At 42.9% G+C, this 22,189-nt stretch overlaps 1 long non-coding RNA gene across 1 annotated transcript in view; it reads right to left on the reverse strand.

The window, feature by feature from the left end:
* PTCSC2 (papillary thyroid carcinoma susceptibility candidate 2) overlaps nucleotides 1-22,189 on the reverse strand; it is a 153,456-nt gene that overhangs the window by 13,291 nt on the left and 117,976 nt on the right. Inside the window, exons 6-9 of the long non-coding RNA NR_147055.1 lie at nucleotides 11,498-11,615; nucleotides 9,885-10,019; nucleotides 4,734-4,998; nucleotides 780-892 (exon numbers count right to left, since the gene is read on the reverse strand). This is a non-coding gene — a long non-coding RNA (papillary thyroid carcinoma susceptibility candidate 2). The remainder of the gene's footprint in view (nucleotides 1-779; nucleotides 893-4,733; nucleotides 4,999-9,884; nucleotides 10,020-11,497; nucleotides 11,616-22,189) is intronic.

A 22,189-nucleotide genomic window follows, 5' to 3' on the forward strand; every position in this document is an offset into this window, starting at 1 on the left:
ATTGGACACCCTTGACATGAAGTAAAAAATAAATCTCTCTCCCATTCTCACTCTCCAGAAGCAACCACTTCTATCAATTGCTCATATATCCTCCTAAAGATATGTCATGTACTGAAAAGCACATATGTATGATGATCTTGAAGGGAATAAGTGAAAGCACACTATACACAAACCTGTATTTTTTAATATAACATGACAACACAAATATCTTTCAATGTCATGAAAATGTTTCTATGTCATTTTTAAGCAGACTTTTGATTAAAGTAGAACATAAAAGCAGAAACATGCAAAAAATCATAGGGGTAAATCTCACAGAAACATGCAAACAATCATAGGTATAAATCTTCGCATATTGACTCTGCTTTTATATTCACCACCAAGATAAAATACGAGACCATTACCTGCATCCCCCAAAATCTTTTGGACCCTCTCCAAGTTACTGTCACCTCTTACCCCAAAAGCAACATAATTCTGACTTCTGATTTCTAAAAATGGTCTTGTCTGGCTTTTGAACTATATGGTAGATTATACAGTATTTATTTTTGTCTATATTTTTTCACTCAACAGTATATGAATGAGATTCATGTTGTTGCATATAGCTATAGTTCATTCACTCATTGACATATATAGTATTCTTTTGTATAAATATATCACAATTTACTTATCCATTCTACTGTTGATGGACATGGGGGTTGTTTCCAGGTTTCAGCTATTTCAGCTGCTATGAACATTCTTTAGATGTCTTTTGGTGAACATAGGTATACACTTTTGTTACCTACCTGCTCAGGAGTGCAATTTCTAGACCATAATGTTCAGCTTTAGTGGAAAATGCTGATAGTCTCCAAAGTGGTTGCAGCAGTGTATGAAAGTTCCAGTTGCTCTACATCTTTACCTAAAACATCAATTTTAATATCAACACAGCATTTCATTATATGGATACACCATACTTCATTTTATCAGATTCCTATAGATCAGGGATTCTTTGCCATAGACCTCTGGCACTCTGATAAAGCCTGAGGACTCTGTCTCAGAATGCGACATAGTAAAACGTGGGCATTATCATTAACACACTAAATCACACCATCCAGTAGCAGGTCTAATAACCAAGCAATTTCAAAATTTCAAAATGAGCATCAACATAAAAATATGTTTATTGGCCTTTGTGCTGCTTCTCCCACACAAAATCATTTTCTTTGTTTCTACATTTATTGGCAAAAGTCAATGCATATTCTTGACTTTTGCCAACTTTTAATGGCCCATATATATTTAAATTTGTATGTAAGCACTCTTCCTGTGTTATGGATATGAACCATCTCTGTGAAATGTTACAATTGTTTTCATTTGTCATTAGCTTTGCCATTTTGTGGTCTTTAGAAAGAATTGATGCCCTGTGTTCAGTGCGATGACAAAGATTGGCTAAATAAGTGATAAAGGGAATAGTGAAGGTTGTTTTATCCTTACAGCAGTCCTGGAGGTTAGACAGGTCCTAGGGCTCATTATCCCCATTTTACAGAGGAAAAGCAGAGCCCCAAGAGGGTAAATGCTGAAATCATAAGGCTAGGACGTGTTAGAGTTGCATCTCAACAGTCCTTAACTCCTGACTCAAAGCCTTGAAAAACCCCTGCTCACCAGGGAAAGGAAGTCAAAGGTCCAGGGTGTGTACACAGACAGCCCTTGAAAGGAATGTGGGGTTTTGTGGTTTGGGTTTTTCCTCCCCTTTCTAAGCACGCTTCGCATGCCAGCAAAGGGTGTGCATTTGTGTATTGGGGGGCAGGAGGGAGGTGCAGGGTTGCATGTCATTCCTCAGCCTTTTCATAAAGGAGGTCAAAGCATGGAGCTTGTGATGAAGCTCAAAAGTCCCTTCAGGCTTCTGGTGGTGTGCACCTGTAGAACTCCTGCCAGGAATGACTTGAATGAGACTCACCCCAACAATGAGAACTAGGCTTTGGGTCCATGTAATATGACTCATTAAATGGTTTATTGTGACCCATACATGAGCTTCAAATTTATAAAATACCCCCTTTGTTATTTATTTATTTATTTTGAGATGGAGTTCCACTCTTTTTGCCCAGGCTGGAGTGCAATGGCACGATCTCAGCTCACTGCAACCTCTGTCTCCAGGGTTCAGATGATTCTCCTGCCTCAGCTTCCCAAGTAGCTGGGATTATAGGTGCCTGGCTAATTTTTTTGTATTTTTAGTAGAGACAGGGTTTTACCATGTTGGCCAGGCTGGTCTTGAACTCCTCACCTCAGGTGATCCTCCCGCCTCGGCCTCCCAAAGAGCTGGGATTACAGGCATGAGCCACTGCACTCAGCAAAATACCCCCTTTGTGACAACAGAGATAGACAAACTCTGCTTCATGGCCTCAAAACTAAAATTGAAAAGATTTTTTAAAGGCTTTACATGCCTATGACACTGCATATCCCAATGAGAAGTCTTCTTTGTGGAAGATCTCTATTTCATTTTATTTTATTTCATTTCATTTTTGAGGCAAGGTCTTGGTCTGTCACCCAGGCTGGAGTCCAGTGGGGGTGATCTTAGCTCACTGCATCCTCAGACTCCTAGGCTCAAGTGATCCTCCCACCTCGGCCTCCCAAGTAGCTGGGACTACAGGCCTGCATGAGCCACCACATCCAGCTAATTTTCTTGATATTTTGTAGAGATAGGGTCTCTCTATGTTTCCCAGGTGGGTCTCGAACTCCTGGGCTCAAGCAATCCTCCCACTTTGGCCTCCCAAATTGCTTGGAGTGTGAGCCACCATGCCCAGCCTAAGATTTTTTAAAATGACTTTCTGGGCAAATGTTATGGGCACATGCTATATATTGTGCACTCCTTTTGGAGATTCACAGTGAAAATTAATATATTTGAGGCTCCAAAAGCCATGCAAAGATAAGCCTGTTGAATATCTGGATGTAGGGTTTACCTGACATCTCTGACCACTGAACCTCTTCTCAGGTAACATCTAAGACCTCTTACCAAATGATGGTCCCATGGAATTTAATTTTGGTTACCACTGCTCTAGAACATACTTTCTATTAAATATGTTTGCTAGTAACAATTGCAATATTTTAAAACATTAACACATCCCTCCATTAATTCCAATATATGACTTTGAGAAATGTTGACAATGGTTTTGAGCCTAAACAGATACAGGTTAAATCCTGAGGCTGAACATGGTGGCTCATGCCTGTAATCCCAGCACTTTGGGAGGCCAAGAGGGGAGGATTACTTGAGCCCAGGAGTTTGAGACGAGCTGGACAACATAGCAAGACCCCATCTCCACACACAAAAAATCAGCCTATGGTTCCAGCTACTTAGGAGGCTGAAGCAGGAGGATCATTTGAGCCCATGAGGTGGAGGCTGCAGTGAGTCAGGCTAGTGACACTGCACTCCAGCCTGGGCAACAGGAAGAGATCCTTCTCAAAAAAAAAAAAAAAAACGAAAAACAAAAAGAAACATTCTAGTACAACAAACCCCAAGAGGTTGCCCACATTCTTTTAAACATGTGCTGTGCTTTTAAATGTATCAAATATTCCTTACTATAAGTGCCCTATTGGCTGGGCGTGGTGGCTCACGCCTGTAATCCCAGCACTTTAGGAGGCCGAGGCAGGTGGATCACGAGGTCAGGAGTTCAAGACCTGCCTGGCCAACATGATGAAACCCTGTCTACTAAAAATACAAAAAAATTAACTGGGCATGGTGGCGTGTTCCTGTAATCCCAGCTACTTGGGAGGCTGAGACAGGAGAATTGCTTGAACCAGGACCCAGGGGCGGAGGTTGCAGTGAGCCGAGATTGCGCCACTGCACTCCAGCCTGGGCGACAGAGCGAGACTCCATCTCAAAAAAAAAAAAAAAAAAAAAGTGCACTATTTTCAGAAGTGGATTTTTTTTTATCATACAGATATTTTAATGCATAAGAAATTTATTATGATATACTTTCACTGTGCTGTACCTTTTGAGTGACTCAGACTTGGCATCTTTATTAATATTCATAAAACATCTTACTTTCAAATGTTTTAGTATTATTAATAATATCATTAATTTTTATTGAAATTGTATATGTAATTCTCATAAAAATACATAAGTGAATTATCCCTTTGGGGCCTTAAAATATTTCTGAATAGAATATCTTTTTCATATAAGAGCAATTGATGAACACTTTTAGGTTTTTAGAAAACATAGAAAAGCAGTAAAAGTTGATTATCTATTCTCTCAAATACAATCACTATTAACATTTTCATCAAGTCTTTTCTTCTATGTGTATACAGATTTTACATAGTTAAAATCTGGGCCCTCTGTTTAACAAGAGTATTAGCATTTGTTTTTATATTCAATAAGTGTATAAACGAAGAAAACAATTTAAGGTAAGACTTTCTGCCTTCCAAGAGATGGTGGTGGTTTCAAATACTTGGGGCCCAGAAGGAAGAATGAAGATGTTCCTTCTAAAACGCAGAGGACAATTCAGCTGTTCCGAATGATGGCCCTGAGTGTCAGCTAACCCCCTCCTGCAGCTAAGTCCCCCTGGGTCCCCCTGCAAGCTCTTCCCACCCCGGGTGCTGGGACCACCTCTTCCCTCAATCAGACATAAATCAAAGGACCAAGATTAGGAAGGATGGGTGATTTTGACCTTTCTATAACAGAGAAAATCCAGATAAATGGTCTTCTCTGAACCACCAAGTTTTGCTTTTCTTTTTCTCTCAAGTTGGTAATAACATGAACAATGACACATTACCTTAGAGCTTGAACTGATGGTCGAGTAGATAATCTAATGTGGGCCTGATGAGACCCTTTACAGATGAGGTAGTTGAGACTCAGGGGGCTTCAGTGACTGGGCCAAGATTCCCTTTTGGCTGGTAAGTGACAGCTTAGAATCCAAGCTGTGGTCTTTGGAGTCCAAATCTCTGGCCTTTCCTCATTCTGTGAAGACCTGCACCCCTTCTTTCAGGCAGGTATAAGACACCGTGTAAAATGTCAAACAAAAGTTCAGCTATCTTTGGCTGTGTGGAGATGGAAGATATTTCAATACAACAGAATTAATAGGCTTATTTTGAAATCCTTCTAATTCCTCAGTCAACTAATCTGAGCCCTAGCTCTGGGCCCTAGATTGCTGGGTTTTCAGCTGTGGCTGACAGGTGCATACTTTCTGAGCAGAAAACACGCAAGGCTGGGAAGTGGCATGGTTTTCATAATAGCCACAGGTGTTCCAATCTGCCTTTCTGCTTCACGCTTTTTATACTTTACCAGACAGCAAAGACATGTTGATGAAGACTGGTTTGCCCTTCTGAGGTTGTACATGACTGGAAGGATTTGTTAGGTAAGGGAACTTGCATTTTCCTGCTGTGTTTCCCCTGGGAAAACAGGACTCTCAAAGACAGTGCCAAAACTTTGAATCTGGAAGTTCTGGCCTAAAGCTGAGTAAGGAAAGTTTTAAAAAATGACAACAACAAAATTAGGGTGAAATACAAAGTGCATGCTAACCAAGCCAAGTTTGAGATTAGAGTTGCAATTTGCTGGTAACAGCTGGACCATAGAGAGAAACAAAATTGTATGTTTCTTTTTTTCTTTCCTTCTTCTTCTCCTCCTCCTCCTCCTCCTTCTTCTTTTTTTGAGACAGGCTCTTGCTCTGTCACCCAGGCTGGAGTGCAGTGGTGTGGTCTTGGCTCACTGCAACCTCCGCCTCCTGGGTTCATGTGATTCTCTTGTCTCTGCCTCCCAAGTAGCTGGGATTACAGGCGTCCACCACCACACCCAGCTGATTTTTGTATTTCTAGTAGAGATGGGATTTCACCATGTTGGCCAGGCTGGTCTTGAACTCCTGACCTCAAGTGATCTGGCCTTTTCGGTCTCCTAAACAAAATTCACCATGAAATGCATGCCCTTTGCCATTTGACATCATTACAAATGAAGAGATTCCCAGGTCAGAGGCTAATAGTGTCCCAAATTGAACCTCTGAACCTTCTCTTTTAATTCCTCAAATTTTCCTGGAAGACTGGGCTGGAAGACATGTCCTTTCCCAGTCTGGGTCTCAATTTCCTTGTCTATAAAATGAGAGTTTGAACACATGACCACTAAGGATACTTCCAGTACAGTTTCTAATCTTTTTATGTCAATTCAGCTTAAGAATCAGTACTGGGCTGGGCGCTGTGGCTCACGCCTGTAATCCCAGTACTTTAGGAAGCTGAGGGAAGAGGACCACTTGAAGCCAGGAGTTCAAGACCAACCTGGGCAACAAAGCACAACCCTGTCTCAAAAGAAAAGAAAAAAAGAAAGAAAGAAAAGAGGAAAGGAAGGAAGAACTGAACACTGAGCACGTGTCCTCTCACAGTCCTTGCTCCTGGCTCTGACAGTGCCTAAGATGAACATTTCCTGCCTGCAAGAGCCCTCTGGTCACCAAGGGAGGAGGAGGCCAGTGGAGAGGCTTGCGCTGCAGAGCCACACCTGGCAGATTGTGCAGGAGATGTGGTGCACTGAGGGAGTTGTGGAAGTAGAGATTCTGCCTGGATAAAAAGATGAAGAAAGGCATCATGGAGGAAGTGGCATTGAGCTGAGCCTTAAGGATGAGAAGGATGTAAACACGTGTTGATGAGGAAGAAAAGGGATTCTAGCCAGGGGAAGAGCGTGAGCAAGGCAGGGAAGCAGGGAAGAGCAAGGCAAGTCCATGTTATCATGAGATGAACGCGCTAGAAACTTAGGGCCTGCGCAGGGGGGTCATGAAAGATTAGGAGGCTTTGAACGCCAAGGCAAGGGGTGTGTAAAGCATTTGGTTGGTACTAGAAGCCACTGAAGGCCTGAAAAAAAGGGATGTAATGTCATCAGAACTGTGCTTTAGGAGTATTAATCTGGGAAAATGTGCAGATTTGTTTTCCTGAAGGCCCCCCAGGTGGCAAATGAAAGAGCTGAGATTAGAAAACACATCTGGCTGACTCCCAAGCTTAAGCACATAACACTTCAAGAAGGCCGTAGAGGCTGGGCATGGTGGCTCACACCTGTAATCCCAGCACTTTGGAAGGCCAAAGCGGGTGGATCACCTGAGGTCAGGAGTTTGAGACCAGCCTGGCCAACATGGCAAAAACCCATCTCAACCAAAAATACAAAAAAATTAGCCAGGTGTGCTGGTATGCGCCTATAATTCCAGCTACTCGGGAGGCTTAGACAGAAGAATCACTTGAACCCAGGAGGCGGCGGTTGCAGTGAGCTGAGATTGCACCACTGCACTCCAGCCTGGGAAACAGAGCGAGACTCTGCTTCAAACAAAAAAAAAAAAGAAGAAAGAAAGAAAGAAAAGAAGGCCGGAGAAACACTATGGATGAGATTCAAACCGACAATTGCTGTTTCTAGACACAAGTGTCCCACCCAAAGGAATATACTGAGAGAGACAAAATAACATCAAACAGGGAAGGGGTGGAGATTCACCTGCTAATTTCTGGTGTAGTGGGTTGGATGGTGGCCCCAAAAGCTGCGTTCACATCCTAATCCCTGCTACCTGTGACTATTACCTTATATAGCAAAAGAGTGATTATTCCCTTATGTGACAAAGATGTGGTTAAGGATCTTGAGAGGCAGAACTTATTCTGGATTCCGTGGGTTGTCTTATAAGCAATCACATGTGACTTTATAAGACAGACACACAGAGAAGAGGAGGAAGAAGCAATGTGACCACAGAGGTTGGAGTGATGTGGCCACAAGCCAAGGAATGCATGAGGCCATCAGAAGCTGGAAGAGGCAAGGGATGGACCCTCCCCTAGAGCCTCAGGAGGGAGTAGGGCCCTCTTTACACCTTGATTTCAGACTTCTGACCTCTAGAACTGCGAGAGAATACATTTCTGTAGTTTTAAGCTACCCAGGCTGTGGCAATTGGTTATAGTTGCCACCAGAAACTAATATACTAGATTACCTTTTGTTAAATTTAATTAATTCCAGGCTGGGCAACATGGCAAAACCTTATCTCTACAAAAAATACAAAAACTTAGCCAGGCAAGGTGGCATGCCCCCGTAGTTCCAGCTGCTTGGGAAGCTGAGGTGGGAGGATCTCCTGAACCCAGGAGATCGAGGCTGCAGTGAGCCCTGATCACTGCATTGATGACAGAGTGAGATCCTGTCTCAAAAAACAAATCAAACAAAAATTCATTTATTCATTCATTTGAATAGGTAATACATGCATATAGTTCAAAACGTTACCAGTGTAAAGGATATATGCTGAAGAAGAGATCTCTCTCCTTTCCATGGCCAGGAGCCACCTAGTTTTCCACCCCGGAAGTATCCAACCATTACTTGTTCAAGGTGACTAATCTTTTGCGTGTGACTACAGAATTTTGCAGAGTATCTCAAAATAATCTGGAAGGTAGAATGTGGTCATGGGGTAATTAATGGAAAGACACCTTGTCCTTGCAGACAGGCAGACCTGGGTTCAAATTCCACCCCAGTTCCAATACATAGAGACTCTCTGGGCAAGCTCCCCAAGCTCGGAGGGCCTTGGCTTTCTCCACTGTAAAATGGGGATGATGAGGTTTGCTACCTCTAGGACTGCTGTGAGGAGTACATGAGATGACTTGGGTGCCACTCACAGTGGGTGATGGTGTGCGGCTATGCAGGGAATTCCCATCTTTTGAATTCATGTCTCTGCTGCCCATGTGTCCTGTAGGGGCTGCTTCTCAGCTCAGGCGTTTCTCTGCTTGGACTCAGTCAGCATGCCCTTTGCTGACATGCCTAAGAGACACAGCTGCATTCTTGCCATTCTGGGGTTATTTCTGACTGGCTGCCAGTGGAAATAACTGGTATTTTTTAGGTGTTGATAGAAATCAAGGTTATATAACATCAGTAAGCCAACTTTGGAACCCCTAAAGAGAGAGGGGTGAGCATCCTGAGGGAAGCAGATGAGCCTGGGCTGCAGACACGGGGCTCTGGGCCTTTGTTCATGCTGTCCTTCACCCATGATGCCTTCTGTCCCCAGTACAAAAATTCCCATAGCAGCCATGCAATGGCGTCTTCAATGTAAATTGAAAAATACAGGCGTTAGAGGATTCTAATCCACCTTGGCCAGGATTCTTTTCCTCAGTGAGCCTCAGTTTTCTTTATCTGTAAAATGAGGATAGTGTTCTTTTCCCTATCTCAGAGTCATCATGTGGGTTACAAGGTAAGAATCAGGGACCAATTTAGACATGACCTACTCCACCCCTTATTTTACAAATGAGGAACTTGGGACCCAGAGAAAGTAAGTTACCTGCCCAAGATTACCCAGCAAGTCAGTAGCTGAGCTGGGGCTGGAACTCAGCCTTCAGGAGAGACCCTTTTTCTTTTTAGCAGGCTGGTGAGATGTATACAATAAACCATAACATGCTATGTAAATGTCATTTGAGGTTACCTGTCTTAAAGATGCCTAGACATCAGTGTACCTGTTTCTTTTCGTAAAGTTTTGTTCCAATGAACGAAGCCCCAAGCCTGTGCTTTTCAGCCTTTGAAGGAAGCCTACAGGGTATTTGAGTTATCTTTGCAACTGTGGGCCTCTGGTCCTAATTCCATCATGGCCACTGTCTGCTGAAGACAGCAGTGACTTTGCCTGGCCCTCCCTGCCCCTTGATCAGGAATGCAGGGAATTAGCCTCATGCATAAGGCCACTTGACCTTCTGCAGGGTGACATGGTGATGAGGACAGGCGGGGGGACCTTTTAGTGGCAAATGGTTCTTCCCTGAATTGGGTAAACATTCTTGAAATGTACACATCACTCTCAAATATTTGTCTCCCTGACTTGTACTTTTTTCTTTCCAAGTTGTATGGAACTAGAAAACAACCTGGGAGGTTTCCAATCAATGAATACCACAATCCAAAATAAAATGTCTTCTTTCTTCTTTCCTATCATTAAAAATAAAATGAAAGAGTACACTACCTTAAGGAACAAGGCCATTTTCATTGTGTGGAGAACAGTGGTGTTTGAAATAGCAGGAACAGGCAGAAAGGAGGTTTGGTCACCTTATTTTAAACAGCTAAAGCCACCCAAATCTCTATTTCTGTTCTCTCATACCTAGAGACACAAAAAAATTCACAAAAAATAATAAAACCTAGTTAGAATGTAAAGGAGTCAATCAGTTTTCACTTGCAGCAGATTAAATGGTCTAGAATGAAATGAGAGGCATGGAGAGGTCTCCTGGCCCCTCAGACGTGCTCTCCAAATGTGGAGGCCAGTTCTTTGCATCACTCCACAGTGCATCCCCACACAGATGGCAGAGTGTGAAAGCGTATTGCAACCCAAATCAGCATCTTCCCTTTAGTACAGTATTTAAAAGGACTGGCCAGGTGCAGGTGCTCATGCCTGTAGTCCCAACACTTTTTTTTTTTTTTTGAGACAGAGTCTCACTCTGTTGCACAGGCTGGGATTCAGTGGTGCCATCTTGGTTCACTGCAGTGTCCGCCTCCTGGGCTGAAGCAATTCTCCTGCCTCAGCCTCCCGAGTAGCTGGGATTACAGGCACGCATCACCACACCTGGCTAATTTTTGTATTTTTAGTAGAGACTGGGTTTCACCATGTTGGCCAGGCTGGTCTTGAACTCCTGACCTCAAATGATCTACCTGCCTCCGCCTCCCAAAGTGCTGGGATTACAGGCATGAGCCACTGCGCCCTGCCTGTAATCCCAACATTTTGAGAGGTGGCAGCAGGAGGACTGCTTGAGGCCAGGAGTTTGAGACCAGCTACATAGCAACATAACGAGACCCCATCTCTACAAAAAATCTTAAAAATTAGCTGGGCTTGCACTTGTAGTCTGAGCTACTTGAGAGGCTAGGGCAGGAGGATTGTTAGAGCCCATGAGTTTGAAGTTAATGAGCTACAATCGTGCCACTGCACTCCAGCCTGGATGACAGAGCAAGACCCTTTCTCTAGATAAAAATTTAAAAATAGAAAAAAGTTTACAAAAAATACAAGACAGCCTCGGTTAAAGCAGAAGTCACTGGCTGCTTTTCCATTTTTGATAGCAGAAGCTTAAATAGATGTGAGTGACTGCAGTTAATGGAAAACATGAAGTCTTCAGCTAAGACTTTTGATCCATGAGAAAACTTCTTCCATTTCAGTTTGAATTCCTTCAGCAGTAGTCATTGAGAACCTACCCATAGAGTAGGTACACTCTGCACTCTGCCAGGTGGAGGGATTAGATTTCATTCTTCCCTTCTGTAAGAGGGGAAGACAGACATATCACCTCTTAATTCAAAAACAAGGTGCAATGAGGCAGGTGCTAAGTAGAGGTGCATGTAACGTAGTCAAGGTAATGTAAAACAGAAACAGAAAAATTCTGATAGGAGGGAAATAATCAAGAAAGCTTCATGGAGGAGTTGGGGCAAGAAGGATTCTGGGCTGGGTGTGGCGGCTCATGCCTGTGATCCCAACAGTTTGAGAGGCTGAGGTGGGAGGATAGTTTGAAGCCAGGAGTTTGAGACCAGCCTAGTGAATATAGTGAGACCCGTCTCTACAAAAAATTTAAAAAATTATCCAGGCATGGTGGTGCGTACCTGGAGTCCCAGCTACTTGGGAGGCTGATGTGGGAGGATCACTTGAGCGCAGGAGTTTGAGGCTGCAGTGAGCCATGATTGTGCCACTGCACTCCAGCCTGGGTGGCAGAGAGAGATCCTGTCTCAAAAACAAAAACAAAAACAGGTTAACATTAGGGAATACTTTGTGATGATATATGGGAATTTTCTGCATTACCTCTGTAACTTTTCTATAAATAAAAAATGTCCCCCTAAGGTGTCACACCCTTTGAAGATTCTTATTCAAATCAATGTTTTCCATGATAGTTGGAAAATGATGATCTTCCAACTTTAGCACCATCTTCACATTTAATGGTTGGCATTTTACTGTAAGCAGGAGCCCTCTCCTCTCTCCTGTTTCTTATCTACTTATTATTGATCTATTTATTCTTGCACAGACTCATAGATTCCTATTTTTCAATGGTTTATTTTCTTTATTTTCTTAATTATGTTGATGCTCAAATTGTCCTAGATTTGGCCAGTGGAAGCCTCTTCAAGTTGATTTCCTTGTCCTTTTGACAGGTCCCCATCACTTTTTTGAGCACTGCCTTACTTTCCAGCACAAGGTATTTAATGCTTATTTTGTAAAGGAAAAGTGTGTGATTAGAACAAAAAAAGGGGCCCTCACAGATCAACAAAGATGGTTGTGCATTGGCAATTATAGGTATAATTAAGTGCAAATTATTTTGAGCATATAACACAGAAAGAAATAACTGCACAGAAAAAAGAAAGGACCATAATAAAAGACTAAAAGAAACTCTTGGAATTATGAAAAGTTTTTTTCATATTGTTCTTTTTTTCTGTATATTCAAAATTTTATGTAATGAGAATGTATTAGTTTTATAATGAGAAAAATTACATAAAAGGTTTTTCCTTTTTAAGAATAATGGAGTGGACGAGCTCTGAGACATTACAACAGGATAAATAAATATGTCCAAAACACCAATAAAGATGCCTGAAAACACCTCTTCACGATCATCAGTCACACTATCAAAAACTATCAGTCCTATGGCTGAACCAGGGTTGGAAAATGTGGGTTTCTATATCTTATTCTATGGTGTACCTCTTGGGTTACTTTGTCTAATCACTTCATCAATTTGGGTCTTAACTTCCTCACCTGAAAAAGAGGATAATAACTTCTTGCTATATTAGCAATGTAATGAGACTCAAATGAAACCATGTATATGAAAACTCCTTTAAAATGCTACAAAAGTAAATGGTTTTATAAAAGAGCTTTTTTAAAAATGGCTGCTTTATTGAAACGTTTTAACAGTTTCTTTTTTAAAAAAGCAGCCAATTTGGAGGACCTACGCATTTGGATGGTGAAGCCCTTTGGCAGTCTGAGTAAGCCCATTTGGGTTCTGTGTTGCAGCCTGGGCAACTACCTCTCCATGGCTGCATCTTAATTGGGGTCCCCAGAAGAAACCCTGGAGGAAGATTCATGTGAAAGTGATGTATTAGGAAGTGCTCCCAGAAAAAATGGTAAGGCAGTGGGGCACCGTATCACACAAGGCACTCGGAGGAGAACTTTGGCTTAATCCCACCAGGGAGCTCTGGTGAGGGTCACACCCGTGAGTCGTCCTGGTCAGGGGCTGGGGGCTAGAGTACTTATGCCTCAGCACCCATCAATTACTAGAAAAAGAGTGGGTGGGGGTGGGTAATCTCCCAGGTACTTCCAGCTCTCCTGTGTGCGGACAGAACAGTCGCCAGCAGCCCTGGACTCTATCCTCTGACAAAGAGATGCAGATGCTGGCCACAGGTAGGCCCCCAATGGTAAAGGAATCTAAATGGATATGCACTGACAATATCAGCTCAAAGAAGGACTAATTCCTTCCAGGCTGGACGTTCAGAACACGAGAAATGAGAACAAGAGACACATAGGACAGGCCTCTCTGGAGACGGCCCAGAGAGGTTGAGTGACCTATCAGGGTCACTCAGGTGGCAGAGTCAGGATTCCAGCCCTGGTGTATCTGACTCCAAATCCCATGTGCCCTTTTCTGTGCCCTACTGTCTCACTACATGAGCTAATGCCTTATCTATGGAGGACCACCCATAGGAAATCTTTCATGTACCACAAAATCCTACACACCCCATCTGCCCTCAGAAATCCAAAGCCCTCATGGGTGTCCCCAGGTTGACATTAATGTCCCCTTCCCTATAATCACCCCTGTCCTCTTGAATTTGTCCAGCATCAGGGATCAAGGTGAATTAAATTATGACCTTATGAACTCCACAGAGAGACACCTATGTCTCAGATACAGGGTGGCCCATCTCCTGGCTGCAACGGCAGTATTAGTGATTTAAGTTAGATAAACAGGTACCATCCCTAACAAAAAACCTTGTGAGCTCATCGGCTTGTTTCTCTTTTATTGTATTTAAAGGCAATTTCCCCACATCCTGCATCTTGAACATGAGCAAACATGTGAAGGAGCCAGACACACAGAAGCTGAAGCCATGCAGACCTCACATGTAGCCAGGGAGCAATGGTCTTGAGTCCCAGTTTGATGGCTGGTCCTGCCACAGACGAGCTGAGGGATCTTGTGCAAGACACACAATCTCTTTGGGACTGATCATCCTCATCCATAAAATGGGAAGGCTGTCCCTACCTATCATGTTATGGTGAGGATAAACGATATATCAAAAGGGCTTCATAAAATGTCAAGCTCAGCCGGGCGCAGTGCCTCAAGCCTGTAATCACAGCACTTTGGGAGGCCGAGGTGGGTGGATCACCTGAGGTCGGGAGTTCGAGACCAGCCTGACCAACATGGAGAAACCCCATCTCTACCAAAAATACAAAATTAACCGGGTGTGGTGGCGCATGCCTGTAATCCCAGCTACTCGGGAGGCTGAGGCAGGAGAATCACTTGAACCCAGGAGGTGGAGGTTGCAGTGAGCCGAGATCACACCATTGCACTCCAGCCTGGGCAAAAGGAGTGAAACTCCATCTCAAAAAAAAAAAAAATGTCAAGTTCAATGCACATGTGAAGGTATTGCTATCCACATTCATTCTACCAGGATGATTTTAATAAAACCAAATGTGGTCACTTCTCTTTTTTTGGGTAATTGATCCAACATCCTCAGACACTCAGACCCCAGCCAAGAGTTAGGATATAAACCTGCAAGGCCTCTGGGCAACTGTACAAGATAACATGAACCCATGCACCTTCCTTTTAATGAAGCAACCAGGCTCTGACACTCGGTGAATGTGTTTTCTTCTAAGCAATTCTAACAAGCTTAGTTATCGCGTCTAGTTTTTCAGAGTAGAAGTAAACAAAGACTCAAGAAGTTGGCCCACTGACCCCAGCAAAAAGCAATATTTAACAGCCTGACAGGAGAAATGCCCAAAAGAGTATAAATGGCAGCTGTATTCATTCAAAAGCATAGTCTGGGGTCAAAATCCTACACATTCCAGGAGCTCCTGTTATTGGTAATGACTGCAGATGCTGAGAATCAGGCTTTGTGATCTGTGCTGTCGATCTAAGAGGGCAGGGACAGCTAGTAGAAAAATGTCCAATAGCACTAGTAGTTAAAACAAAAAGCACATAAAACAACAATAAAGTCTATGATTGGCATATATTTTCTGAAATGAAAAATCTCTATGCTGGTGGTGATGACATAAAACTGAAAACTACACAATTGTTTCAAAGGAAAGGTAAAGCAAATTTTGATTACATAAAATATGACGTCTTCTGCATCCAATAGTGGAAAATGTGGAAACTATACAGGAACATGGAAACTTGCTTATGATGTGTTCTGCTAGAAGCTGCAAGACACTAAATTGCATGTACAGGCCAAATACAACTGCCCACAGCCATATGCCTATGAAAAAGATACTAGAAAGGATATCAGGGTGTTTTCCTTCTTTCATCCCCTCCATCCTTTGCATTTACAGATGAGGAAACTGAGACCAATGGGCTGTTCCTGCTGTTGAGAACCTGTCCCTACAGTTTCCGTGTGGCCCACAGGGGCAGAGTGGAGGAGCTGGTGACCATGCAACAGGAGGATCAGGTCATGAAAGACACCTGGAGCTGGGGTGGAGACAGCTAGTTCAACACGTGGCTTCAGCACACACCCACTGAGCAAAGGAGCCTACTCAATGCCAGGCCCTGAGGGAGAGAGGCAGACCCGACCCAGTGCTCACTATCACGGGGCACATGGGAGGAAGAGACGATCTCTGCCTGAGGTGATCAGAGAGGGCATTAAGCAGGAGTGGCATTTGGATCTCAAAGCAGGGTGAGGACATGTGGCACACTGGAGCCAGTTTGTACCAGCTTTTGGAGGCTAGCTGCTTTTAGGAATTTCACATGCCAGTGCTTAGACATAGGTATTATTAAAAATAAATTTGACAAATTTACAATTTGATAAATAATATTTGAAACAAAGGTAATACCCAACACTTGTCACATCTGAACTATTTCACTATGTTTTACTATTATCTATGCTCTTGAGATTGTTTGCAACTATTGCATTTGTATGGTGAAAATACTACAAAGCTCTGTGCTACTATACATCTCTTCCCAACTCTGTATCCAGGGACATGATGTTGGTAGCTGAAACTGGCCACGGTGGGAGTATTTACACTATGGAAATGGGCAAATGCTACACATCAGGACTCCAGTTAATGTTTCGTTGATTGTGCAAAGTTTAGACTCTGAACTTAAGAAAGGGGTGAAGAAAATATTAATAATGCAGATTAAATTTCAAAGTCTGTCATGTCTATAGCTTTTATATATTGTGAATAGCACCCACAAATGAGGAAATATTCTATTTAAAACTAATATCTGATTGAATTCTGATTCAATGAAAGTAATATCTGTGTCACTGATAAATGAGTGAAGTTCCATTATATGTCTTCATTATATGTCATTTTTTCTTACCTGTTAGGGTAAATGAAAATATCAATCAACATTTGTGAAAAACTAGGCTCCATGACATGAGTGACTTCATTGCTGAGTCCTATAGTAAACAAGCATTTGTTTGTAGTTTGATTTTAGAACACGATTTTTGGTGATAGAATTACAAAAACTGCTAGTGGATTTTTTTTTTTTTTTTTTTGAGACGGAGTCTTGCTCTGTCACCCAGGCTGGAGTGCAGTGGCATGATCTCGGCTCACTGCAAGCTCCGCCTCCCGGGTTCACGCCATTCTCCTGCCTCAGCCTCCCGAGTAGCTGGGACTACAGTCGCCTGCCACCATGCCCGGCTAAGTTTTTGTATTTTTTTTAGTAGAGACGGAGTTTCACTGTGTTAGCTAAGATAGCCTCGATCTCCTGCCCTTGAGACCAGCCCGCTTCCGCCTCCCAAAGTGCTGGGATTACAGGCGTGAGCCACTGCGCCCGGCCAACTGCTAGTGGATTTTACAACAAACAGCAGCACTGAAGTTAAAGGTGTATGGAATTTACAGTAGAGTATTGCATGTTACTATTTTTAAATTGTGGGCTACACATTCTTTATATTAGGAAAATTTGTAATTAACAAATACATATATTAACTTGTATACTTATATTAACTTATATACATATATATGCATACATTTTTGAGAATCCATTGTAGGAACTCAGATAGGAGAAGACAGGGCAGGAGAAGGTAGAGGAAGATACAGTAGGGATTATAATCCCTACTGTATAGATACAGTGTCTTCTATAGCAGAGTGACACTGTAGGAGATGTGGTAGCTGCTATCTCCTGGGGGCCAGCATCCTTACTGCCCTAGATTCCTCTGGCTCTTGTCCTTGGCCCAAATAGCTTTCAGGAGAAAGGAGGCAACCCTGGGTGGGGCCACTCCCAACCTCCCACTGAGTGAGCCTGGCTACAGACTGTGCTGAGCTGGACCATCCCAGGAGAAAATGCTTTGGAGCCACTGGAGAGAGGGGACCCTGTATTTTCAAAGCATCCCTGAGCTGGAGACAAACCTAGCAGGGCCAAAAGATCCCCTCATGCGATGCCAGCCCTCTCTAGGTCAAAACCCAAGTAGGAGAAGATGAGGCAGAGAGGGAAGGTCTGGGCATGCTGTGCTGATTCCAGGATCCCTGCACACCCACCAGGGAACCTGTGCTTCTGCCCTTCAAGAACACACACTGCAGCCCAATTGTGTTGTTACTCTGCCTAATCCTGCCATTATGTTGAATCCTAGTGAGACAGGAAATCCAAGAAGCTCTCTGCCTTCACTGTACATGCCCATCCTTCCTTTCTTTTTACTGTGGTGTCCTCATTACTTACTGTTCTTATATGTTTTTAAATCTCCTCAGTGTCTGTAGTCAGGTTTCTCCTTCAACCCCTAGCAGTATTTTTGTACTTGATATTACTTGTCTTATATATTTTTTCCCTTAATTTTTCCTAAGGCCGGTGATTTTATCAGTTTTTCAAAGAACGCTTTTTGTTTTGTTGATCATCTGTACTAGTTTCTTTTTTTACCTGAGTTAGTTGTTTCTATTTTGATATTCCTACTTTCAAGTAGGTTTCTTCCTTCTACTTCCTCTGAGTTTATTTTTTTCTTTCTCTATTTTTAGTATCTTGAATTGAAACTTTAGTTGGTCCCACTCTTTATTTTTTAAATTTTTCTCTTTTAATAGTGAGGACACTTAAAGCTATGAATTTCCCTCTGAGTATTGCTTTGGCAATATCCCATAGATCGGATATCCATTCATTCAACAAATTTTTTTCTAGCTTTATTGAAGTATGATTGAGAAATAAAAATTATATATATTTTGGGTATATAACATGATGTTTTGATATATATACACATTGGCAAATGATTACTACAGTAATGCTAATAGCATATTCATTACCTTACATAGTTACTGTGTGTGTGTGTGTGTATGTTGTGTGCATGTGAGATAAGGCACATGAGGCCTACTCAACAAATTTCAAGTATATCATACATTAATATTAACTATAGTCATGATGCTTACATTAGGTCTCCCGTACTTATTCTTCTTATAACAGATTTGTAAACTTCGACCAATATCTCCCCTCACTCCCCAGGCCCTGGTAACCACTGTTCTACCCTCTTGTACTATAAGTTCACCTTTTTTTTTTTTTTTTTGAGATGGGGTCCCACTCTGTCACCCAGGTGGGAGTGCAGTGGTGCAATGTTGGCTCACTGCAGCCTCCATTTCCAAGGTTCAAGCAACCCTCCCACCTCAGCCTCCCAAGTAGCTGGACCCCAGACATGCACCACCACACCCAGCTAATTTTTTGCATTTTTTGGTAGAGACAGGGTTTCACCATGTTGCCCAGGCTGGTCTCAAACTCCTGAGCTCAGGCAATCCACCTGCCTTAGCCTCCCAAAGTGCTGGGGTTACAGGCAGGAGCCACCATGCCAAGTGGCTTTTAAAAGTTCAACTTTTAAAAGATTCCACATGTGAAATCACGCAGTTCAGCAAATATTTATTAAGTACCTACTATGTGCCAGGAACTAAGAAACGGTGTTCTCATTATCATTCACTTCTAAAATGTGCACTTTCCATTTGGATTTCTCTTTAACCCAAGAGTCCTTTTCAAGTGTATTTTTGTTTCTAGGTGTATGGGTTTGCAAAGGGAAGCTGTCTTTCAATAATTTAGTTCTAATTGCTTTGTATTCTGATCAGTGAATATGATTTGTTAGATGGTAGTGTTTTGGGATTCATTGAGATTTCCACAACTTAATATTTTTTCTTAACATATTTTTAAGTTGAGGTATAATACACGCTCAGTAAAGTGCACTCATATTAAGTGTACAACTTGATGAATTTTCACAAAATATGTATCTATGTCCCCACCATGTGGATCAACGTATAGAACATTCTCAGTACCACAGATGACTTCTTGCCTCCTCCCAGTCAATACCCTTCAGAAGTGACATCAGGATTGATTTTTCCATTTGTAAGTTTTTGAAATTCTTATAAATGGAATCATACAATATGTATTCTTTTGTGTCTAGCTCCTTTCACTCTACATTATATCTGTAAGATTCATCTATACTTTTGCAGGTAGCAATGATTTATTTCATTTTCACCCAGGGATAGTAGCCAATTGCACAATTACAATTTATCTATTCTATTGTTAAAAGATACTTAGGTTGTTACCAATTTATGACTATTAAAAACAGTGCTGCAATGAACATTTTTTTTTTTGAGACGGAGTTTTGCTCTTTTTGCCCAGGCTGGATGCAACGGCGCGATCTCAGCTCACCACAACCTCCACCTCCCGGGTTCAAGCAATTCTCCTGCCTCAGCCTCCCAAGTATTACAGGCATGCGCCACCACATCCGGCTAATTTCGTATTTTTAGTAGAGACGGGGTTTCTCCATGTTGGTCAGGCTGGTCTCAAACTCCTGACCTCAGGTGATCCACCCACCTTGGCCTCCCAAAGTGCTGGGATTACAGGCATGAGACACCGCATCCGGCCAATGAACATGCTTATAAGTGTCTTTTAATACACAAGCGCATTTCTGTTATGTATATATTGGGAGTCCTAATTACCTTTTAATTTGGGGATTCTTAGTGTAATTTTTTTCCCTATGCCACTTTAAATCTTATTTGGTTAAAGGTAGGATATAAAACATCTTAACGTGTGTGACTATGTCAAATAAATCAGGGACTTTAACTCACAGTAGCACCGCCCCCACTTTAGCTTGCCTGACCCCTTAGTGTTTGGACTTAGAAGAATCCTAGGCCCCAGATCTCTCAGACAGTGGCTCCCAAACTTCTGTCTCAGAATCATCTGGAGGGCTTGTTAAAAATGCACTATCCTGCCCCTGCCCAAACTTATGGCCTTGGTCTTTCCAGGAGCAGGACCCAGCAATCTGCCTTTTAGAAAGTATCCCCAGGTGATTCTGCCACTCAGCCAGGTATGGAAACTTTCCTGATTTCTGTGTTTGCATGGACTATGGACCAACGAGGCAAATTATCACCATCTCAGACAGCCTGATTCCCCCCTACTTCCCCAGTCCCCTTCTGAGGACAGCAGTTACAATTGGTTCTTCCCCTGACACCACAACCCCTACCCCACCCCCGTCTTCTTCCATGTCTTTGCTCCTAAAAGCCAAAGTAAAAAAAAAGAAAAGTGGATGGTTGATTGGAACCACCAATAAGTTTGAGTGCATCTGGTCTCTTTCCTCATTGCGCTCGTGGGGAAATTGAGGCAGGGGAAGGAAGAAATAGCCACAAGGAGTCAGGGTCAGGGAAGAGCCCCACCCTCACTACTTCTACCCTCTACACTAAGAAAAAACGTCCAGCAGAGGGAAGTGCTTTAGCCTCAAGCCTGCTGAGACTATCAGTGTTCTGAACAAGGCTGCATGTTTTACAGAGAGAATGCGGGCTTGGAATCAAACACACCTGAGGTCAAATCCTAGCTCCTCTCCTTGTAAGGAAATAATTTGAGGTCTCTGAACCTCAGGCCCCACATCTTGAAAATGGGATTAGGACTGGTGTTAGGATTACAGCTAATACACATGAAGTGTGGGGTGCATGGGATGTGCTGAGTAAATGGCTGTGATTATTATGAAGAAAATCTAGGTCACCCACAAAGTCCTGTTGCATTACCTGGAATATTACATAGGCTGGTGGCAGAGGCAGAGGGAGGAGGGAATGTTGACTTCCCGTGTTTTACCTGCTGTCTTTAAGTTCTTCCTTCCTCTGTGATCTGCGAGCCTTAACTCTAAGTTCACCCAGGACCATCCCACTGGACACACATGGTTGAGCAGCTACTCAGGATTGGGTCCTGTGAGAGACAGTGGGGTTTTGCTCCTGCCGTTGAGAAGCACCCAACCTGACAGGTAGACGGGCACCTATGTGGACAGCCACACTGTAGGGGGCAAACTGAGAGCCAGGGTGAGGAAGTGGTGTTTACAGCGGGCCCCAGGAGCCAAGGAGGACATCAGTAGTCAAACTCCGTCCGGGAAAACACACCAGATGCATGCAAGCCTGGCAGTTTACAGATGGGCAAGCAGACAGGTAGGGACTGGGGGAAGCTCTCCCAGTGGCCCTGAACCCTGGCTCTCCTGTCTCCCAGTGCTCCATCTTTCTATCTCTTTTGGAGTTTATCTTTTAGGGAAAGTTGGATTGATATAGTGTCAATAAAGAGGCCAGCAGATATGCAAGAGCTTAGTATGAACTTGTAGGCATAAAGCAAATCAAATATGTTAAGCAAACTGAGAGTCATAGAGTTCTTTGTATGCCTATCTGAGCTAATATTTCACAAAGAAGAAAGACGCATCTCCTTCCACAGCAGAGTACATGTGAACTTGTGTTAATAAGTGTTGTTTACAGAGTATTTTGGTTTCAAAACGACATCCACATGGAAGTTCAGGGGCAAGAGCAAGAACTCACCTATGACAGCACCTTGGTCTTTTCAAGGCCAGGCCTTGAGCTTGGAGCGTGGGTCCTGGCAATCAGAAGGCCTGTGTTCTAGGCTATCTGTGCTTGACTTGCTCTGTGATCTGGGCAGTTCCCTGTCTCTCCCTGGGCCTCAGCATCCCTGTCTGTGAAATGAAAGCTTTAGGCTAATTGTCTCCCAGGGCTCTTTCAGATCCAGAGCTCTCAAATGTTGCCATCTTTGTTTTTTGTATACTTGCAGCGGCCCTGGGAGGTTGACATCATCCTTCCCATTTTATAGGTGGAAAGTCAGGACTTTGAGGAAGGAAGAATCAGAAGTCACCCAAGAGTCAGAGGCTGAGCTAGATCACAACCCAGAGCCC

The sequence above is a fragment of the Homo sapiens genome, chromosome 9 (genome assembly GCF_000001405.40).
Source record: "Homo sapiens chromosome 9, GRCh38.p14 Primary Assembly".
Taxonomy (NCBI): Eukaryota; Metazoa; Chordata; class Mammalia; order Primates; family Hominidae; genus Homo; species Homo sapiens.